Source organism: Homo sapiens, chromosome 18 (genome assembly GCF_000001405.40).
Source record: "Homo sapiens chromosome 18, GRCh38.p14 Primary Assembly".
Taxonomy (NCBI): Eukaryota; Metazoa; Chordata; class Mammalia; order Primates; family Hominidae; genus Homo; species Homo sapiens.
The window spans coordinates 26,893,455-26,917,570 of NC_000018.10; the positions used below are offsets into that span (position 1 = coordinate 26,893,455).

At 39.5% G+C, this 24,116-nt stretch overlaps 1 protein-coding gene and 1 long non-coding RNA gene across 6 annotated transcripts in view; one reads left to right on the forward strand and one right to left on the reverse strand.

The window, feature by feature from the left end:
• The window catches only part of AQP4-AS1 (AQP4 antisense RNA 1), a 70,639-nt gene that overhangs the window by 28,147 nt on the left and 18,376 nt on the right, over window positions 1-24,116 (forward strand). The gene's annotated exons all lie outside the window — the stretch shown is intronic.
• The window catches only part of CHST9 (carbohydrate sulfotransferase 9), a 278,828-nt gene continuing 267,738 nt past the window's right edge, over window positions 13,027-24,116 (reverse strand). For all 5 annotated transcript variants that reach the window (NM_001256316.2, NM_031422.6, NM_001398493.1 and 2 more), the window contains one exon: window positions 13,027-23,896. In NM_001256316.2, coding sequence (NP_001243245.1) covers window positions 23,874-23,896 — 23 coding nt within the window. In that variant the 3' untranslated portion in view covers window positions 13,027-23,873. The remainder of the gene's footprint in view (window positions 23,897-24,116) is intronic.

The following is a 24,116-nucleotide window of genomic DNA, read 5'->3' on the forward strand; positions in this document are numbered from 1 at the left end:
ATATTCACTGAGTTTAATTTATGAACAACGAAAGTAAAACCAGACACGATTCCTCCCCAAAAGATGAGCTCATGTGAAACAGTGGGGAATGCATCATCTTTCAGGTTACCAGTGTATGGTGGCACTACAGTATCAAGGTTATGTATTATAGACAATAAGTAAGGAAGACATATCTGAGCTGATTCTAAGATCAGAATCTGGTGATGTGTTAATTGAACACTTGGCAATTGCTTTCTTAGTTTACCCATTCAGATTACTTATCCTATTGAGGAAATGAAGATAGAAAAGATTGGTGGCTTTATTATATGTTACACTGATGCTTTGGGTTAGAGAGCATGGGTTGCATAAAATATTTTAAAATGCGGATGGATAATTTTTAGACCAGTTAGGATGGCTACATTAGAGAATCCAAGACAATGTCTGCCATTATCTTTACAATACACACTGATTTTTGTGTGTACCTTGTCATTATGTAAGCTTCCTACAGGGCTGTGGTAAGTCATGGACAGGGTTAAGGAGAAGGGTACATGTCGAGAAACTAAATCACATTTGGAGAGGAGATGTAACAAAGGTAGGGTTCAGAGGTTTACTGGTAACAATTCCAAATTTGGAATGAAAAAGTTACTCTTTGTTTAGCGTTCGAGTTGGGAGTTTGCCCTGCAAGAGACAGTCAACCACTGACTTCAGTCGAACGTACTTGGAAAGGGAAGAACTTAAACCAGCCATGAACAGAAGAAAGCCAGGTTTTCTGGAAACATCGCCAAAACCCAGCAATTTCTCAGAATTTTCAGAGGCGCCAGGGGGGTGTTTGCATTTCAATGGAAAAAGTTCTGAAAGCTCTGGAAACTATTCTCAGTTTTACTTTCTCATTGAAAGGCAAAAACCATGGCTGTAAGTAAGAGACAGAAGCATTTGCTATGGCTTTGTTAAGAATTAAGAAAAGGGACCTCTGGAAAATTTGAATTGTCCAATCCTTTGCCACAGAGCCAAGACAAAGTGGTCCAAGTCATAATGGCAAATAGAAAATAAAAGTACTGTTAGCTTTAAGACAAAAGTACTCAATGTCTGGAGCCACTTTCCACCAGCCTGGGTTTTAAAAGAAAGACAGAACTTTCTAGATTTAAAGAGACATAGTTGCAGCTGTATTGCAATAACATAATGGTAGCTCTCATAAGTACATACTTGTCATAAGTATTTAATCTTTTCACACACTACAAATACCTTGTTAGGTTGCTAAGGGGTTACAGTACTTATGAGAAACGATCTTTGAGAAGAAGAAGAATACTATTTCCAGTTAAGATTTAGAAGAATTTTAAGTAGATCTATAGTAACAGTCAAAAGTAGAAAATATGCAGTATAGCAAACAAAATTATTTTTGGTCTAATTCTACCACATAAAACTTGAAGGCAACATTGTCCAACAGAAATACACTGTGAATCACATATGTAATTAAAATTTTCTACTTGCTACATTTAAGAAGTTAAGACAAACAGGTAAAATTAATTTTAATGCTGTATTTTGTTTAATCAATGTCTCAAATATTATCATTTTAATATATAATCAATATAAAAAATTAGAAGTGAAATACTTTACTTTTAATCTTACTGTATGAAATTTATAATTTATGTTTACAACATCTCTCCATTTGGATGCTAAGTTTTCATTGGAAATACTTGATTTGTATTCAGATGTCATAAAATTTATGGTTGAAAAAGTAGATATATAAACATACTTAAAAATTTTCTAATAATTGAAATGAGTAGCAATTTTTAGTTTTAAACTCATTAAAATTAATAAAATTAAACATTCAATTTCTCAGTTGCACTAGCCCCGTTTCAGGTACTCAACTCAGCAGCCACACGTGGCTAAGTGGAACTGTATTAAACAGTGCAGCTCAAAAAGGTTGCTAAATTCATCTTTTATTATTCTGTAATTTTGCTCTTTCAAATATTAGCTAACCAGATAAGCTTGTGAAAGTGACTAATGCCCCCTTTATTATGCGAAGATATTTTGGGGGGAATACAAATTGTTCTGTGAGCTTCGACCTACCCTTTGCTATAGAGGTCATTTCTCCATTTACTGTTAAGTGTGCATATCTTGCTGGAACTCTTCAAAAACCCTGAGCGAGCTTTCCATATGGGAAGCAGTGAGTCACTTGGTGGGGGGATTTCGGGAGAGGAAGATGAGGAGGTGAAGTAGAGTCAGCAGGAAGAGGAGCATTTTTCAACCAGGGTCAGAAATGTGAACAGTAATTTTCAGGAAATAACCACATATTTTCTTATTATTAAAATAATTATTACTACAAAAAAATTAATAACATTCAGATAAGCCTGAAAATATAGAAACCATGCATAATTCCATTACCCAGAGATAACCACTGGTAACACTGAACACATGTCTTTTTAGTCTTATAAATTTATTCACATTAATGACTACTTTCTATAGTGGTTTCTATTGCTTCACAGATTCCTGGGAGTCTCTGAGACATTTTCAGGGGGTCCATGAGATCAAAACTATTTTCAAAAAAGGACTGAGAAGTTATTTCCCCTTTTTACTGTGTGGCACTTGCGCTGATGATGCGAAAGTGGTGTAGACAAAACTGCTGGCTCCTTAGCACTAATCAAGGTGGTAACACTGAATTCTACTAGAAGTCATTGCATTCTTAAACACCACACGCTTAGAGTAAACACACACACATACACACAGACACCCTAAACCCCAAAAGACAAAAAAAGTCAAGACACGAATAACCTCCTAGTTTCACTTAAGAACATCCTTGGTAAAGCAATACAATTATTAATTATATTAAATCTTAACTTTTTTTTTTTTTTTTTTTTTTTTTTGAGACGGAGTCTCGTTCTGTCGCCCAGGCTGGAGTGCAGTGGCTTGATCTCGGCTCACTGCAAGCTCCGCCTCCCGGGTTCACGCCATTCTCCTGCCTCAGCCTCCCGAGTAGCTGGGACTACAGGCGCCCACCACCACGCCCGGCTTATTTTTGTATTTTTAGTAGAGACGGGGTTTCACCGTGGTCTCGATCTCCTGACCTCGTGATCCACCCGCCTCGGCCTCCCAAAGTGAAATATTAACTTTTGATTACTCATCTTTTTTTATAGTCTGTGTGGCAAGTGAAGTACAAATGAAGTACTCCCGATTCATATTGAAGCATGATGGTTGTTTTAGGAAAGACACCTATGCCATTATTTGAGTTGTGAGCTGAACTAGCAGCTTTTTTTCCCCCAAGGAATATCATTCTTACTTAAAAGAACAATACTAATAAACAAACATACTGATTATTCAGACTTGCATATTTGGTGGACATTTTATCAATGATGTGACCCTGTCATTTCCAGGATAACAACTGAAAGTATTTGTTGCTAATAGTAAAATTTGAGCTTTCAACCAAAATTTAGAAGTGTGAAAAACTCCATGAACTTGATGGCTTCCCAATAATTAAAGACTTTTTTTTAAAAATGAGATTTATGATGATGGTAACCGATGTGACTTTTTGATGTTATATAAAATCTGCCAACATTTGGAAAATCTACATAACTCAGAAAAACTAATATTCTCCCAAACGATAAATGCACTGTGTTCAAAATCACGCACGAATAAAAGATCCTTTCAGAGTGTGAGATAGATGGACTTCAATGTAATAGTATAAACATTCAGTTATATGGTTTCAAATTGCATATTGTAACTAGCATTTAAGAAACATTGCTTTTTGAGTTTTGGTGTAGCATCAAAGAAAAATATTCACAATTAGCTGAAAAGGCTATTAAAATACTTCTTTTTCCAGCTCCAAGCTGTGTGAGAGTAGATTTGTTCCCCCATACTTTAATCAAAACAACATATCACAATGGATTCTATAAACAGATATGATGAGAATCCAGTTGTCTTCCATTGATATGATGAGAATACAGTTGTCTTCCATTAAGTCAAACATTAGATTTGCAAAAATATAAACAATAACTCTTTTCTTACTCATTTTTTTGTGGGTTAAAATATTATATCACAAAATATGTAATTTATGTTAATTTAGTTGATTTATTATTATTTTAGGTATGTTGATAAATATTTTAAATTTTTTTCAGTTTTAATTTCTAATGTGGTAAGTTTTAATAGATATAATACACATAAGCAAATATCTCTCAGTAGTTAAAATACTAGAAATTATTGAGGCCCTCAACAATTTTCAAGAGTTGTGAAGAGGTTCTGAGATTAAAAAAAAAAAAGTTAGAGAACCACTGCTACAATAGGTCCAATCTTAGGTGCCTACCCCCATCCCCAACTCAGGCTAACTACAGACATGACAAATAAACAGAAACGCAAGAATCCTACTGTGTTTCAAAAACATTCTCTCAGTACATACACATATTTTAAAACGTACTTACAACATTTAAAATTGAAATCCTACTGTACATACTCACTTGTAATCTGACTTGTCCCATTCATCATAAACACTTTTTTTTTCCTCAATTTTAAGTTCAGGGGTACGTGTGCAGGATGTGCAGGTTTGTTACATAGGTAAATGTGTACTATGGTGGTTTGCTGCACAGGCCATCCCATCGCCTGGGTATTAAGCCCAGCATCCATTAGCTATTCTTCCTGATGCTCGCCCTCTCCCCACCCGAACCCTCTGACAGGCCCCATTGTGTGTTGTTCCCTGCCACGTGTCCATGTGTTCTCATCACTCAGCTCCCACTTATAAGTGAGAATATGTGGTATTTGATTTTCTGTTCCTGCATTCGTTTGCTGAGGATAATGGCTTCCAGCTCCATTCACATCCCTTCAAAGGACATAATCTCATTCCTTTTTATGGCTATGTAGTTTTTCATGGTGTATATATGCCATATTTTCTTTATCCAGTCTATCATGGGTGGGCATTTAGGTTGATTCCATGTCTTTGCAATTGTGCTGCAATGAACATACACGTGTATGTATCTTTATAATAGAATGATTTATATTCTTTTGGGTATATGCCCAGTAATGGGATTGCTGGGTCAAATGGTATTTCTGCCTCTAGGTCTTTGAGGAATTGCCACATTGCATTGTCTTCCATAATGGTTAAACTAATTTACACTCCCACCAGCAGTGTAAAAGAGATGAACACTTTCCAATGTCATGAAATATTCCTCTCAAGTTGGATTTGTGGAGGTTGTATTGTATTCTACTGGTCAGATGCCACTCAGTTCATTTATTGTGTCTCCTTCCATCAGCAAGGTTTAGGCAGGAAAATGATGTTTATGTTTTAAGAAAGTACTCTAATAACAAAAGAGAGAGAATCAGGGGAAGCTGTTAGAAATCTCTTGAGGAGGACCAATTAGGTAGACACAGTGATGGCCTGAGAAAAAGCAGTGACCTTGGGATTGTGGGGGTGAGAGTACATTAAGGTGGGCAAGTGAGTGGGAAGAGAGAGATGTGTGCTCTATTATGCATTTTTCTAGCATAGAGATCAAAGGCCTTTGGTAAATCCAAGTGGCAATGTTCAGTGCATTTTCCATTCTTTCAAAGCAGTGCATGTTTCACTCTTTTTAATTTTGAAATACTCAGTATTTTAATAACTGTGTACCATATAATGTAGAGTTTACATGTAAATGTCTTCATTTGCATTTACACATGGCTTCTTTCCACAAAGTTGTCATTTCTTTAGTTTTCTGCAGCATAATTTAATTGCTTATCTACCAGTCCTGAGTAAACTCACTCACTTAGGGTTTTCTCAGCATTTCATAGATCATAGATCACCTCTGCCAATTATAGGGGTCATTCTTTCCCACTTTCCTTTCCAAGGTGACCTGTAACTTCTGGGCAGCTTACATTGCCTCATGACCTCTGGATGAAAGTGCCTACTTCAGGGTCTTCCTCTGGCTTGTGTTGGCACCTCTGAGCTGTCTGTAGGTCCACTGTGATTTCTGGTTGCTGATGCCTGTCATTGTTCTGGCATCTTTGCAATGACTGTGAACACATCTTAGTGTCTCTGGTCACTGGTCTATATGTTTCGAGTCATCTTTACCCCTGAGGGCTCCTTAGGTCCATTGTCTGCTCTCTGCAGCTCAGGGGAACAGACAGCACAGAGTCTCTGTGGTGGCTTGTCTACCATTCCCTGGAGACTGAGAGCTGTCTTGGGCTCTATTTGCCAGGTTTGCATGCCTACCTACCATTGTGGCTCCTTTGTAACTCCCACAAATACTTAATAATTGTTCAAGAATGTATATAGATAAAGGGAGGCATTATTGCTATTAAAACTGCTTGATAACATCATGGAGATAGCATGAGACTAAGTCATTTGGACTACTTGTTCATAAAAGACTTCCCATGGGATTAGAGAACACCATAAAGGAATGTTTTCTTTTAGTCACATTTTAAATTTCTCTATAGTAAAGCAAACCACAGATAGAAGAGTCACCTGTTTTAAGGTTTCATTATTGCAAAATCTCTTGCCATTTGCCTTTCTTTACTTTCTAGAGCTGAAAAGGAATTGAGGCATAACTAAATCCTCCTTTGTGATTTTTCATAGAAGAAAACTGAGGTCCAGTGGGGGAAGCGAATTGTACAAAATTACACACAAGTTAGATGGGACCAGGTCTCTCAACTCCCAGTCTGGAGTTCAATTTTTTTTTTTTGAGACGGAGTCTTGCTCTGTTACCTAGGCTGGAGTGCAGTGGCACAATCTCAGTTCACTGCAAGCTCTGCCTCCCGGGTTCAAGCAATTCTCGTGCCTCAGCCACACAAGAAGCTCGGATTACAGGCATGTGCCACCATGCCCAGCTAATTTTTGTATTTTTAGTACAGATGGGTTTTTGCCATCTTGGCTAGGCTGGTCTTGAACTCCCGGCCTCCAGCAATCTACCCAACTTGGGCCTCCAAATGTGCTGGGATTATAGGCATGAGCCACCACGCCTGGCCTTCTGGAGCTCTTTTGAATTCATTCATTTCTTTTCTTTATAAATTACCCAATCTGTAGTATTATGTTATAGCAATACAAAATGAACTAAGACAGTGACCATCATACCCAAGATTCAAGGAGCCCTCCCAACCAGCTATTAAGATTTGCTCCAGAAGCTCTTGCCAGAACTTGAGTCTCAAGCATGATAAGTATCAACATGTCAATAAATTGTGCCCTATCATACATTAATATTTTGCCTCGTCTCCATTTATACAACACCTTCACATTTTTCTTTCACATGCATTGCCCTAATTTCTACTGATTTATATTGTTGATGTCCTACAATAGTTTTTAGCAAGCAAACTATTTTATTTCAGCACTCCTCCTCTTGGGCTTATCCTAGTTATCAATCTGGAGGTAATGAGGGAAGATATTGAGGAAAGCAAACATTGTTTTATGAAGTGCCTGCCTCAGATATGTTTTTGTGTGATCTTCATGGAAGGTGAAATTGCTTTTCTCTGGCAAGGGGAATAGCACTGCTTTCCCCAGGCTGGGTATTCAAAGTTCTCAGACTCTGTTATCTAAAGGACCCCCATCCCAGGTTTCAGTGTCCCATTTTCTTCTGATCACTGCCTTGACCTTGACACAGAGGATCTATGGAGGCTGTGCACTCAGCTCTGTCATGCTACAATTTGATCCTGGGCCTGATTTTCCAGCACAATCCACCCTGCTGCTTCAGGAGTTGAGAGTCTACTTGACAACTGTAAAAAAGGCTCTGGCTTTAACAATGTACCTTGTGTCATCAGTAGGCCACTCTGAGCCTATCATTTTCTTCCTTCAATGTTTCAAATACAGTTAAAGAAAGCCAACCCACTCCACAATCCTTACAGTTATCAAAGTCCAGATTCTGCATATTCCAATGACTCACCTTCCACTTGAACCTCATCCTGACTAACCACAGGTAGTAACCACAGCCTTTGTAGCTGGGATGCCATTCCTTGCTAGGGGTTCCCATAATTTCACTCTTGTCTCCAAATGTTGTAGCCCAGTCTACTGATTTGAAGAGTGTCCTCTTCCCCCTGGCAAATTCATGACTACCTGGAACCTCAGAAGTCACCCTTATTTGCGAGCAGGGTCTTTGCAGATGTAATTAGTTAAGATTAGGTCATACTAGATGACGATCGGCTCTAAATCCAACAACTGGTGTCCTTATAAGAAGGCCACATACAGAGGCACAGAGCTAAACAGGGAAGAACACCATGTGATAACAGAGGCAGAGCTTGGAGGGATGCAGCTACAATCCAAGGAACACCAAGGATTGCCAGCAACTACCATAAACTAGAAAATAAGCATGAAACAGACTCTTCCTCAGAGCTCCTGGAAAGAATCAACCTGAAGACAGCTTTGTTTCAGATTCCTGGCCTCCTGAATTGTGAGAGAATAAATTTCTATTGTTTTAAGCCACTTAGTTTGTGGTACTTTGTTACGCCAGCCCTAGGAAACAAACACACCCAGGTTCCCAAGAAAGCAGCATTTGAGGCAGAGATCTTATATGTGGTTACTCCTATGTGCTATTACACCTTACATGCTAATACTTCTGTATTAGGAATCAGTAGAGAGGGTCAGGGCAGTGATCAGGGAAGAGACAATGGCCAATGTGAGGATGCAATATCTAGTTGGTTGCCTTAAACTACAGAACCATTAGAAGAAAGAACGTTAACAATGTTTTTATACTGTCTATTTAAGAGAGAAAGGAGGAATAATATATCCACATGGTCACATTTCCCTTTGATTAAAAGTTTACCCATGGGACATTAAGTCACCTCCACTTAAAAGGTGTACATTCATTGGCACTGTTTTCATCAGGGATGTCTGAACTATGGTAATCTGTGTGGGAGCATCATTCAGAGAAGAGAGAGGAGAAAAATGCACTAGTAGCTCCCTTTCTTGAGCTCCAATCTCCTGCCATTGTCTTTCATTGTCTAAACCCAACTAGAAGCCAGCTGCATCAGGGGACTTGGAAATAGAGTCTACAAGTGTCCTTTACTGCAGAGAAAGGAGAGGAAATGGCTCTCAGAGCCAGCCGGCCAGGAACAGACACATCAGGCATGGTGGTATGAGGAAAAGTGCAGGGTGGCGACTTCTGAGAATCTGTCCTGGCGGCCTCCAATTCAGCCTCCTGCTCTGTATGCTGTGCTGTCTCTGCCTTTGTGGCTGACTGGGCAGAGGGACCAACTGCCTGGCAGTCTGTATTAGTCCGTTCTCACGCTGCTAATAAAGACATACTTGAGACTGGGTAATTTATAAAAGAAAGAGATTTAATTGACTCACAGTCCAGCATGGCTGGGGAGGCCTCAGGAAACGTACAATTATGGCAGAAGGGGAAGCAAATATGTCCATCTTCACATGGCGGCAACAAGGAGAAGTGCAGAGTGAAGGGTGGCAGCAAAGCCTCTTACAAAACCATCAGATTTCGTGATAACTCACTTACTATCAAGAGAATAGCATGGAGATAACTGCCTCCAAGATTCAGTTACCTCTCATCAGGTTCCTCCCACAACATGTGAGGATTATGGGAACTACAATTCAAGATGAGATTTGGGTGGGGACAGAGCCAAACCGTGTCATTCCACCTCTGACCGCTCCAAAATCTCATGTCCTCACATTTCAAAAACACAATCATGCCCTTCCAACAGTCCCCCAAAGTCTTAACACATTCCAGCTTTAACTCAAAAGTCCAAGTCCAAAGTCTCATCTGTAACAAGGCAAGTTCCTTCCACCTACAAGCCTGTTAAATCAAAATCAAATTAGTTATTTCCTATATACAATGAGGGTACAGGGATTGGGTAAATACATCCAGTCCGAATGGGAGAAATTGGCCAAAACAAAAGGACACAGACCCCATGCAAGTCCGAAATCCAATAGGGCAGTCATTAAACCTTAAAGTTCCAAAATGGTCTCCTTTGACTCCTTGTCTCACATCCATGTCATGCTGATGCAAGAGGTAGGCTCCAATGGCCTTGGGCAGCTCCACCATTGTGGCTTTGCAGGGTACAGCTCCTCTCTTAGCTGCTTTCATGGGCTGATGTTGAGTGTCTGTGGCTTTTCCAGGTGCATGGTGCAAGCTGTCAGTGGATCTACCATTCTGGGGTCTGCATGATGGTGGCCATCTTCTCACAGCTCCGCCAGGCAGTGCCCCAGTGGGGATTCTGTGTAAGGGATCCAACCCCACATTTTCCTTTCACACTGCCCTGGCAGACATTCTCCCTGAGGGGTCTGCCACTGCCGCAAACTTCTGCCTGGATATCTGGGCATTTCCATACATCCTCTGAAATCTAGGCGGAGGTTCCCAAACCTCAATTCTTGATTTCTGTGCACCCACAGGCTCAACACCATGTGGAAGCTGCCAAGGCTTTGGGCTTGCACCCTCTGAAGTGACAGCCTGAGCTCTATGTTGGCTCCTTTTAGCCACAGCTGGAGCTGAAGCAGCTGGGACACAGGGCATCATGTCCTGAGGCTGCATAGAGCAGGGGGTCGCTGGGGCCAACCCAGGAAACCATTTTTCCCTCCTAGGCCTCCAGGCCTGTAATGGGAGGGGCTGCCATGAAGGTCTCTGACAGGCTCTGGATACATTTTTCCCATTTCTTGGTGATTAACTTTTGGCTCCTTGTTACTTAAGCAAATTTCTGCAGCTGGCTTGAATTTCTCCCTAGAAAATGGGGTTTTCTTTTCTGTCACATTGTCAGGCTGCAAATTTTCCAAACTTTTATGCTTTGCTTTCTCTTGTACACTTTGCTGCTTAGAAATTTCTTCCACTAGATACCCTAAATTGTCTCTCAAGTTCAAAGTTCCACAGATCTCCAGGTCCAGACCAAAATGCCACCAGTCTTTTTGCATAGCAAGAGTGACCTTTACTCCAGTTCCCAACGAATTCCTCATCTCCATCTGAGACTACCTCAGCCTGGACTTTGTTGTCCAAATTGTTACCAGCATTTTGGTCAAATCCATTCAACAAGTCTCTAGGAAGTTCCAAACTTTCCCACATCTTCCTGTCTTCTGAGCCCTCCAAGTCTCCAGGAAGTTCCAAACTTTCTCACATTTTCCTGTCTTCTTGGAACAGTTGGAATAAACTGTTCCAACCTCTGACTGTTACCCAGTTCCAAAGTTGCTTCCACATTTTTGGGTATCCTTACAGCAACACCTCACTCTACCAGTACCAGTTTACGGTATTAGGCCATTTTCATGCTGCTAACAAAGACATACTTGAGACTGGATAATTTATAAAGGAAAGAGGTTTAATTGACTCACAGTTCAGCATGGCTGGGGAGGCCTCAGGAAACTTACAATTATGGCAGAAAGGGAAGCAAACACATCCTTCTTCATATGGTGGCAGCAAGGAGAAGTGCATGGTGAAGGTGGGGAAAACCCCCTTATGAAGCCATCAAATCTTGTTAGAACTCACGCACTATCACAAGAACAGCATGGAGATAACCACCCCCATGATTCAATTACCTCCCATTGGGTCCCTCCCAAGATATGTGGGGACTATAGGAACTACAATTCAACATGAGATTTGGGTGGGGAGACACCCAAACCATAACACAGTCCTTATGGCTGAGGACCATTGGGCCAGTGGTCTACCTCTTCTCCCAAAGTGGCCTTATGCAAGGTACCTGGAGAAGGTCCACTTATGAGACTCTATTAAACTATTAAATACTATTTTCATTCACCACTGAGTGAATAGAAAATCAGAAATTAAGGTCCTATTTTATAGACTTCATAAAATCACTTGAATTAGTGGAGGGTTGATTGGGGTTTTGTCTTTGTCATGAGTACAAAGTATCAGTCATGATGAGCCTCATTGAGTTTTGTGGGGAGGGGTGTACCAAAGTTCGGTAGATTACATGAGTGAGGAAGGATGGCAAAGCCTCTACAGGCAAGCAATGCCTAGAAGGAGTGGCACCCGTTCTACAGACTCCACACCAGAAATAAACACTGCTCATCAGGGGTTCAGCAAGACAGAGCTCTGGATCCAGATGGACTGCTGACCAACTGTGTGAACAGAATAGTTGTTCTCAAGTCTTCCCCTGCTCATTTAAATTACTGAACAAGTTCCACTACCATGTTAATGCCAAGCTAAATTACACTAGTCAATGCTTTTGGTCAACATAGAGGTCACCTTTTAATTTTCCCCAATCTTTTCTGCTATAGAGCAAAGCACTAATACTGTCCTGGCTTCTGTTGCTGCAATGCAGTCTTTAGGAATTTAGTCTTAAGTAAATTCTGGTGGAGTAACTCCCGTGTAATCCGTTTCAGTCTAGCATTTGCCAATGTCTTAGAAAAGAGGAAGACTGAAACTCAGAGCTTTATTTATTTAGTCAGTCAACAGAGTTTACTGAATGTTGACTACACGCTTGGGGCTGAGAAAAACAGAAGAAACCTAAGAGACACTCTCCCTGACCCAGAGGACCATCTCATCTTGCAGTGGGAATGTAACTATGAATGAATAAGCCTGATCTGTGGACCAGGAAAGGCTTTCTGAAAACAGTGATGTATTAGGTTGTTTGACAGTATTCCAGGCTCAGAGAGCAGCCCATAGAAAGCCCTGAGGCAGAGAAAAGCATAGCTTATTTGAGGAGACAAAAGTTCATCATGGTCAGGGTGTAGCACTAATGGAAAGAAAAGGGTTAAAGATGATTGAACAAAGTGATTTTTAGTTTACTTATTTGTTTCTATGTTTGGCTAGGAAGCCTGCTATTCTAAACCATTAATTCGAGAATCCACATTTGAAAGCCTCAAATTTAATTTGATGTATGTACATTTATTGGGTAAGATGTGATTCCTGACCTCAGATAACTTAGAGTCTGACAGGAAAGATAAGACACATTTTTGTAGTATTATAATACAAGTCAGAATGTACCTTAAGGGAAAGACAGAGTGCCATATGAATGCAGGAACACCTGTGCTGGATTTGTTCCTGCATTCATTTCTTCAACAAATACTTAAATAGTATCTTCTCTGGGGTTACAAGGATGAACAAGACACAAACTTTAACTTCAAGGAATTGATTCTACTAAGCAAGGCACATACATAAATCATTAGAATTCTTTAAGCACAGAGATAGAAATATGCACAGGCTATGATGAGATAAATCAATGGTTTTATTTTATTGAGCACTTATTAAATACTTTACATGCATTTCCCATACCCCCCTTACTAGGTAGGTATTCTATCCTCAGTTTTCAGATGAGAAAACTGGCACTGAGAGAAGTTAAAGCAATTTCAGAGGTCCCAACATTTGAAAGTTGAGGATACGGAATTCAAACCCAGTTCTTACTCATGACAAGCCCCAGGCTCCTAACCATCCTACATAGAATCCTGCTTCCCAATCTCTCATAGTACTCAGGGCAGAGCATCTCATCTGAGCCAGGCAGAGATGACAAATGCCTCCCTGAGCTTAGTTTAGGGATTAGGAAGTGTTGGGGAGGTGAAGGGGGGTAGGTGGGTGCCCTAATAGAGGGACAAGCTGAGTAGACCCAGGAGGAAGAAAACTATCCAATGTTAGGGTATTATGTCCATTCTAGGCTGTTGGAGATTAAGCCAGGAGGCAGAAAATGGCCAGAAATATGCCTGGAGAAGAATTGGGATCATGCAGGATATAGAATGTATAGTGGGAAACAGAACTGGAATTGGATTTGCATTTTAAAGTGATTACAAGGGCAGCTGTATGGAGGATGGCATTGAGGGAAATGAGAGTGGGAGAGAAGTTCAAGATTATCGTAGAGTTGTAGACAGGAGAAGGTGAGAGTCTGAACTTAGATATTAGCAGAATGGATGGGAGGAGAGGAGAAGCTTGAGAAAAAGTCAGGCAGTGAAGTTAATGGGCTTTCTGAATTCTGTGGCTGTGAGGAGTCAGCTTAGGGAGAAATCGGGGTTGACTTCTAGGTTCCTAACTCAGAAGATGGAGTAGATGGATGGTGTTGCCACCAAATAAGGAGAAAGCAGGTTTGGGGGTTAGGTGATGAGTTCAGCTTTGGTCATGTTGAGTTGGAAGCTCCAGTGAGACATCTAGATGAAGCAGTCCCACAAGAAACTGGGAATCTGAATCAAAGTTCGTGATAGAAACATAGCCTAGAAAAAGATTTCGGAACCATCAGCCTAATGGTGGAGCTAAAGCAAGGAGAGTGGAAGAGAGTCCCCAAGCAGAGAGGGTAGAGCGAGCTGAATGTGGGATGGTCATGCGGGGCAGGCAACTCTTGGAGGGGGCACCCATGTGGAGGTCCTTAAAGAGGAATAAAGGACACTTCAGGTCGTGTAATAGTGTGAGCAAAATAGGGGAAAAAGCAAGAGGTGTTTTCAGAGAATGTAATGGTTCCATGTGGCTGGATAATAGTGGGTTTGATGCAGCTATCAGGTGATTAAGCTGGGAATGGGTTATAGTCTTGAGAGATTGAGGCCAGGCAATGAGAATGGAATACAATTCAGCCTTGAAAAGAAAAAAATTCTGGTACGTCCTTCAATATGGATGAACCTTGAGGACATTATGCTAAGAGAAATACGCCAGTCACAAAAAGACACATGCTGTATGATTCCATTTATATGAGGTATTTTAAGTTATCAAATTCATAGAGACAAAAGGTAGAATGATGGTTGCCAGAACTGGGGGAGGGCAAAAAGTGAAGTTGTTTAATAGGTGCAGAGTATCCATTTTTCACAAGGAAGGAAGGTATGTGATGGGATAGTGGTGATGCTTGCACAACTACACTAAATGCTGCTGAACTGTACACTTAAAAAATGGTGGCAAGGCATGGTGGCTCATGCCTGTAATCCCAGCACTTTGGGAGGCTGTGGCGGATGGGTCACGAGGTCAAGAGATCGAGACCATCCTGGCCAATGTGGTGAAACCCAATCTCTACTAAAAATACAAAAATTAGCTGGGCGTGGTGCTGTGCACCTGTAGTCCCAGCTACTCGGGAGGCTGAGACAGGAGAATAGCTTGAACCCAGGACGTGGAGGTTGCAGTGAGCAGAGATGGTGCCACTGCACTGCAGCCTGGGCGACAAGAGTGAAACTCTGTCTCAAAAAAAAAAATAGGTAAGATGGGGAGGGATAGGAAAATATTCATTAAAAGGATACCAAAAAATGATAAGGTGATAAAATTTTATGTTATGTGGATTTTGCCACAATTGAAAATATCAAAAGAAGAAAAATGCAAAGAGAAAAGAAGTAATTTTTAAATAAATAAATAAAAAAGGCAGGACTTCTATTCAGAGGCTATTTCCAATAGTTCTGAGGAGAGCCAATGTGGTTAGAATTGGGTAGGTAGCAGCAGAACTGTTAGTGGACCCACATGAAAGGGCTGTGTTTATATGTCAGAGTCAGTCAAATGTTGGCAATGTCATATGGTTCAACCTAATAGAAAGGCAAAAAGAGACAAATCCTTTAATGAAGTTCAAGAAAATATACATTATAACCATTTAAGTTAAATTGCAAAATATTTCCTGGGGCACTTGCTCTCAAACTAATAACCAAATAGCAAATATTTTCCATTTTCAATCATCTTAGGTCAATTTGAAAACAGCTTTTTAGTTTTTATTGGAGAAACTCATATTGTCTTCACTTGTTCAATGTGAAGTTGAGTTGCCAAAATTGCCTTCAGTACACATTTGTCTTTTATATTTCAAACAGAGGAAAGTTTCCATTTCCCCATTTCATTCTGAAAGCTTTCAAAAAGTTTGGGCAGTGCCCAGTGCTGTCCCCGTCCCTCACTTCATCATTTCAGCTCTAGTTCTTGCACTTGGCAGACTTCGGACGCCAAGTTTCTGCTTCAGTGCTGGTCAAAATCCCACAGAGGACTTTGGTACCAATACCCACTGACAATTCTCTGAGCTGAGAGTTGTTAACTTTTCAACACAGTGACAGAATGAAAAGAGCAGGTTGTATTATCATTTATAATCAACCAGGACTTAAAAAATTCACACACACACGAGAAGTACCCCAAGAGATTATTAAAAAGGAAATTTTCAGGTGGTTTTCATAGAGATTCCAATTCTGTGTATCTTGGATGGGGTCTGGGAATATGTTTTTAACAAAAATTAGGTTAATTCTGATACAGGTCGTCCATACACTATTTTTTTCAGAAATTGATAAGTTAAATCAGGGCTTATTTTTTCCTAAGGATAATCACAGTCAAACAAATAATATTGTTCTTTTAAGTTGGTAGACACTCTAGCATTCTGAGTGCATTTTTATTTATTATATAGTACATCCAAAAATCATTTTTCTAAACTTTGGAAATATTTTCAGCAAATGAATGCATAAAATGAGATACTGTGTGTTTTACTAGTTTTCCTGGTATTTGAGGACAAAAGTCGTAGTTATCCCTTCTCCTGTTTTCTCCACCTCTCTAAGTATAGAAGTGGGGGGAGGAGTAGGAGGAGTAGGAGGAGGAGGAGGAAGAGGAGGGAAGAGGAGGAGGAGGAGGTTGTCAGAGCATTAAGAAGCAAGAGAGTAGAATGTTACAGGGGGTGCTACAATCACCCAGATAATAGCAGGAAGTAGGGTGGAGAGGCATGTTATAAATCAGAAAGAAGAATCTTCGGAGAAGGCTGGGAAGCAGGTGATTTTTAGAGTTGAGGAAGCGGGCACACCTGCAAAACAGAAGAGATTTTTGGATGAAGGTTATAGAACAGCAGTCTAGAGGCAGCAGTGGGAGCCAGTTTCTGTCCCTAGATACTAGAGCTCCAAGAGCCTGGGAGAATGACTCATCTCTGCAGAAAGAGGTGGGAAGGAATGTCGTTGCCAGGGGACCCAGTGGCTACGACAGAAAGATGCCAAAAAAAGGTACTGGATTTCTCCCAACATCTTTGTCATTGGTCAAAAGAGACTTCCCCAAACAATGAAATACTGTTTGGAGATCCCACTGGATATAGGACCAAAGGGCAAGCAGCACTGTGAGCAAGGATATGGAAACCCGGAATGGGATAACCTCACTACCTGCACAACACAAATAGGGTCAAGGATAATGTTCAGGAGTTGATTTCCTTTGGAAGCTTGGCGGGGGAAGGAATACACTCTTCAGAGCAGGACTTGAAAAGTGAGATGCTTAGGGGCCAGGCAAGTAAGGTGAATGAGTGATGGTGGATTAGTGAAGAGTGTGAACAACTAGAGATCTCCAACCTCATCTAAAGGGACTGACCTTGCCTCTGTCCAACTATTTTCAGGTGGGCATATAGAATGTAGGGTAACAAATCCCCTGTCATTAATGAGGCCCAATGTTGGCAGCTAATTCAGATGTTAAATAAAATGCACTGTCAGCCAAACCAAACATATCTGTAGCCAGATCTACCCCGTGGGCTGCCAATGTATGGTCTCAGCTTTGGAGCCAGAGAGACTGTTATTAAACCTCTTTGATACTCAGTTTTCTCATTCATGAAATGATAGGTGGAAAAATACTCGACTTTGATTTTTTTGAAAGCTACTTTTGGAAACGGTTAGACTTACTCTTCATGTCATTAAATGAATGTATGCAAAGTATTTTTCCCGTGTCTGCTACTGAGTAGATCCTCAGTAAATGGCTCTTATGTTGACCAGAATCATGCATTTTTCTCAAAATTTTCTTCCCCAAACAATCAAGCAACTGCTATTTCTTAGAAATGTAAAAGATTTCTGTGTCTGCAACTATCCTTCAGGTCAAGGGATGACTATTAGTGTAGAAAAGGTGTGTGGCTCAGCTCCCTTCCCTCAGCTGCCCTGCTCTAGCACCTTCCTTTCAGATCCTCTGGTCCTATAGATGCCTGAAGGTCACAGGCAGAAATATACGAATTCTACACTAAAAGAAGTTGTACAGGAACCTTTAAACAACAGCATCAAAAGCATCTGTTAAAGTAACGCTTTCCACTGAGTGCCTTGCTAGACATGGTACAAAGTGCATTCAACAGACACAGTTCCTTTCCTCTTGGAAGACCTAAGACATTCCAATGACAACAACAGATATTTTATATTCATAAAAAGTGAGATAAATAGCACATGAACAAATAAATTAACGAACCTCCCTGACAAAAAAAATCGAGGAAAGGAATGCCTGCATTTATTGGTAAGAGAATAATCTGATGCATGTTACACCAGGGGAAAACTCTGCTGTCTTTTTCTGCCTATCAGGGAGCTCATAAAGAGATGAGATTTTGAAATTGAATAATCTCAAGAGATTCCTTGGTGAGTTAACAAGAAATGAATGTCCAGATATATAGAGAGGGGAGCATTCCAAATATAGTGTGAGACTTGAGGAGAGGTTTAGGGATGGAAAAAGATGACTGCTTAAATGGATTTAAATACTTTTGCCTGGAAGCATATGATCCTGGTGAAAAACTAAGATGTGACTGACTAGGAAATTCTGAGAATGAAATGATATGAGGCAATGTTCTGTTGAACTCCCCAGACCTGGCCTTCCTCAGGTAATGATCACAGGCCTGGGAAATGTCTGCCATCTTCTAGCAAGAGCTTATTTATTTTCACCTGGTTTCATGGTGTTTTTTCAGTCGGTTTAAGTCAGCTTGCTCCTCTATTCTTTTCTGCAGTCTTCCCGTGTAGGCTCAGGGTAATCTGACTACAAACTAGTACTAGGGAAGGAGACTCAGGAAGAAGGGGATAATGCACAGTTGCTCTGTTTCTAGCAGGAGTGGTTCTCACTGTGTGTGACTAGCTTGCTGAACCGTGACCATCTGCAGTGGCTGTCAGGGGCCTATGTGTGGAAAGTTCGCCTGAACTTTCTTCCTCTTAGATTCTGCTTATCCTTGACTGGTCTTGTAGCTGTCTGGAATTTCTTGTCAAAGAAATGATATTTTGTTTTCACAAGGCTAAATTTGTTCCAGGGACTATTTTTTCTTCTTAAAAACATTGTTTCCATGATTAACTAAGGATTACAAAAAAGTTGTGGGGAGGAAACCTAATTTCTTCCAAAGTCTTTGAACCTGTCAGTTTAACTCAGCAGGAATAAAGAAATAAGCTGATTTGAAATGTGATAACTAACTAGCTAAATACACACACACACACACACACACACACACACACACACACAGACACCCATATTTGTATGGAAAAAATTTCAGGATTCCAATATATTGTTTTTGCCTCTACCTATCCTGAATAGAGGTAACGGAAAGCAAAAGTAAATATTGGTTTGTAATATTCTAAGCAAAGAGTTTGGTAGTGGTATTTGCTGCTTGGCTTCATCCTGGCTTCTGACCTACTTATCATCTCTGTCTCCTTAGGCAAGTTACTCAGCTATAGTCTGCTTTACTTTCCTTTATGATAGATGGAAAGGGAGAGGGCTACATAATATTACCTATGTTAGACTGGCTATGGAGATTAAATTAATGCATGTAAACTACTTGAAGAGTGCCTGACACCCAGTAAGTATTGAATAAATGTTAGCTAGGATCATGCATACGATTACTGTATAATGATCATGATTGAGATTGAGAAGGTATGAGCCTAAATGTAGGACTAAATTGAATTAGCCTTGGCCTAAGGTTCTCAGGTAGTTGAGCTATAATTAAACGCCTTTGGCCAATCCTTTTTCAAGTATCAGAGCATCTTGGGAGGGTTAGCCCTGGGCAAAACATCTGCTTCACCACGCCCCATGAAGGCCTAGAGGCTGGGATGCCCTGAGAGGCCACATGAGAATGCACAGGAGGGAGACGTTTACTGTAGTCCTAGCCTAATCCCAAGTTCTATTAATTCAGCAAGTGATTTTTTCAAAGGGCACTCTAATATTCAAAATTCTCTGCATCTTCTTATATATACCTTCTGCTAAATACTATACATTTTAGGAGATAAGAATAATAATACATCAATAAAATGTAAAAGTATTTTTCCTCTTTCTAATTAAAAATGACATACAAGTAGTTCTTGAATTAGAACTACTAATTCCCTAATGATAATAATATTATTATTTTCTGTTACAGAATGTTTTATAGACATCTAGCAAGTGGCATCACATTTCCATTGAATTAATGGATATTTCCAAATGTTTGAGAAAATCCGAAAACTGGATGTCCTGTACATACATTTCCATTGAAGTTTATGGCAGTTTCTGGGCACAATCACATCAATATTGCACATCTATAGATAGTTTACAGGTTACATAACTGTGGTTTTGGATTTAATTGCCAACTTGTTACCCTGATAGTAATTCCAGACAGGGGAATAACAGAGCGAAGGGGTCTGCCCATTGTGTTACTGCTGCCTATAAAAACAAATAGGATCCTTAGGGTTTAATTGGAGGACTTATAATTGCACCTAATGTTAAAATGGGAACTTTGGACATCTGGAAGATGAGTCTGGATTTGGTCACTTGCCTTTAGGAATTAAATTCATGAAATTGTGATGGTCCTAAAGAACAGTGGTGTTCCCACCTGGATTTATGCACAGGCAGAAATGACAAAGGTGAATGTGAGCTGGTCTGCAAGGCCAAATAAGTCAGGAGAGAAAAATGGAGTTTGGCTTTAAACTCACAAGTAATCCAGGATGATGACTGGCTTCTTTGGTCCTAACATGAAAATAAGCCATCTAAAATGAAGAGCAGGTACATAAAAAGTTTGTTCTTACTTGGCAAAGACATGCATGGCTTTTGGAACTTGCAACTACACAGGGTGTCACTTGGCATCATAGAGCCCATTTAGGAAAAGAATGACCCATGGTGACACGGGCTCGTTGGAAAGGGTCAGGAAAGGAACATATACAGCAAAAGGTACAATACAGCTTTCCGTAGAGAACACTGGGTATCATTTTCTTCCACTCATCCCTCCTCTCCACCATCAAAGCCAAACATTTATATAGGTATGCATTCCACCCTGCCCAATGCATTACAAATGCCAATAAGAGAGGTAGGACTGTTGTTTCCATTTTTTTCCTTCTAAAGCTATTGAAAGTTCTTTGTCTGTTCCTTATATAGTTTTAGGAATACTTTTGAGGAAATTGCCTTTATTCTTTATAGTGGATTTCATATAAAGCAAGTTTTGTGTTTCTTAGGAATAAAATTTCAGGCTTCTGGAATATTTTTTATTTTCTCTCTCCATAAAAAGATAATTTCAATTTCCCTAAATTACTAGGAATCTACTCTACATGGTGCAGCAAAATTTTAAATTATGTAATTTAGATTACTCCAGAGTAAAACGTCTTAAAAACTGAGAGCACAGCTTAAGTGTATGGTCTAGAGGCAAGAGTTAATGGCATGGAAAAGTAGTAAAAGGTTGGATTAGAAGGTTTAATACTTTTGATCTCTCAGCCCATTGCAGTTTACTTACTCCTTAGGAGACACAGATGGGACACGGCAGGTGTGTGTAAGGAGCGAAGCAATTCATGAATACTCAGCCATGAAATAGAAAATCAAAATGAAATAAGTATGACTGCAACTATCTTGGTCTATTAACATTCAACTATTAATACCTACTGTTCTTTGAAAGCCATTACTGAATATTTACTGATAAGAAAAAAATGATAGCTTAGGAAGAGGAAGATGTTCAGGAAAAGCATTTAAGCAGGGTTTGAAAGACTTGTGATTTTCTTAACTCGGGGTAAAAGTCGACCAATTAAAGTAGGTTTCCCATCCAAATGTTTCCCATCCAAAATGATCCCTTTTTTTTTCCCCAAGGGATCTAATTTAGGATCCCTTGGAAAAAAATTCCAAAATGCATTACAACTATTCATAAGGGTGACACATGGACCTATTTTTCTAAGGACTTTGATTTAATATTTGAATGCAATGGTATCTGACTTTGTTAGTATAGAATATTTAAACTTAAAAAGAAAATACCTTAATTTACTTATGCATAAGCCTATTAAACACATTTCTAGGGGCTCTTTTTATGTTTATTCTCTAGAACATAACCTATCTTTGAAGTGGTATATTAGTTTTTAAAAAGTCATTCCTAAGCTGAATAATTAAACTGAAAACAAAAGCTATTCTTAGGGTGTATTCCACATATAAAGCTATGCACATGATGCTTTGATTCAAATAATATACTTATAAAACTTTGTTATTGTTTGAGTTCCATATTCAGAATGGCAACTTTTGTTTTTGATGATTATTCCATCCTGAAACAATTTCCCCCCTGCTCAATTAAACCAGAATTAGGAGCACATTTATATCTGATGAGACTTAAGCTTCTCAACTGCCTGCTTCAGAAATGTAGACCTTTAGTGCTTGTGTTCATTTTGTCTCTTTGTGGAAGGCTCAAAAGAAAACAGAATCAATTCCCTTAAGTTTTTCTGGAAGAAGAAGGTTGGTTTTGTTGCTTTGATCTTAGCATGTTGTGCATTTTTTATTGGCTGTTGAATATAAAAAGCCACAGCCTCATCTGGTTTTTCTGCTATATTCTCATATTGTAAATCACATAATGCCTTCCAATCTAAAGTAAAATGCCTAAGTCCAAAATATCACTTCAAAATGGATTTATCATTATAGTTGATAGAAAGATTTCCAGGGTGTAAGAAAACAATTCAACAGTTTGATTAATATGCCACAGACTGCTAAAAATATATTCATGCATTTTAGACAATAAATTTCAGGATATAGACATACACTCATGCTATTTGAGATCCTTTTTTCCTACCATTGCAAGAGGCTGCTTTAGCTAATGCAACAGCTGGCTAGGTTATTGCTTCAACAATATAATTCATAATGCAAAAGCAGCTCTTTTCCAAACATTTTAGAGCAACTCAAGTTGTTTACATCTCCTGTAGGTGATTTTCCTATAACTTTGTGCCAATTGGTGTCATACTATTTGGTAAAAATCTACATTAAATCAAGACAACTGCACTTGGTTAAATTTCTGTCATACAGAGAATTATAGAAAAATTACAGCTGATTTGAACTTATCATCATTAAGTATATACAGGGTTTTAGAAAATGAATGCAAACTACAAAAATGGAGTTGTATAATTAAACATTAAATAGTCCAAGTAATAAAAGTCATAGATTAATTGTCTCTCAGTTCTAGTCAGATCCTTTAAATACTGTCTCACGACTTGAGCATTGGTTCTTTCATCGGAAGAGTGCCTATCCTTAAAGTTGGGAAATTTCAGCTCCTTTGGAGCACCGATCATCTGTAAAAAGTAATTGGCATCTTCTTCCAAAGTCTCAAATTTCCCTACAAAATCATAGTTGATCAAACACGGATAGCAGAGTTTGCTGACCTTTTCCCAGTGAATGTCCATTCCTACTGGACGGTGGGAATCCAGCAAGTAGTGGATAAACTCTTTGAACTTGACTCCAGATCCATTAATTAATGCTTCTTCACAGGCATTTGGTCGATATTTCTTGATAATTGCCTTTCCGAATACTGGATGGTAATAACTATTGGGGTGTTCAAATTTGTCCCTAAAGGCTGATACTAATCTTTCCATGGGATCACGAACAAACACAGCTTTGGTGTAAGTATTTAAGCGGGTATATATCCCTTTTAGGTCAAAGCTATCTAGCTTCTTCAAATGCTTCCCGTAGTGGACAGCATTGTGGGAGATGTTGTATGCAGAGGAAGCCAATCCATTTAGTACCATCAGAATTCTTTTCCAATTGGAACAGCCAGCCTTAGGTACCTCACAATATAAGATTTTGTGTTTATCTTCTACATAGATTCTGGATACTGTATGAAAAAGATGTGACTGATGATGACTCACCCCACCGTATTTCTTGCAAAACTCCTGAAGGAAAGACCTTCGTTTCTCTTGGGTCTCCTCAGTTTTCTTCCATTTATTATCTTTGACTAAACTTTTGTTTAAAGGGTGAATGTCCACTGGCCAATTCATGTTGCTGAACTTGTTAAAAACAGTCTTAGCTCCTTGACGTTTTTCAATCAACTTCTCTGTTGGTGACCCTGTGGACTTACTTAAAGCTTGATCCCCTCCTTGTGAATGACTGGTCTTTGTTAAGAGCCTAGTAGATCTCTCAGAATTGAGTAGAAGATTTTCCTTTTTTTCTCGTACATCCTCAGGCATGTGAAACTTGGGGTTCTGTTAAAATAAAGAAGGAGAAATGTTGAAAGCACAGTCACGAGTGTGGGTATACTGGATAAGGAACTTCACATATTTGTTTTAAAATAGTATCAAGGAGAGCATATTTCATATAAGCTGCCAGAACAATTTAGCAAGGCATGCTGAACATACATTTTGTAGTGAGCTTCTTCACAGAAAATGTAGCAATGAGAAATGGCATCTACAGGATAGGGAGGAA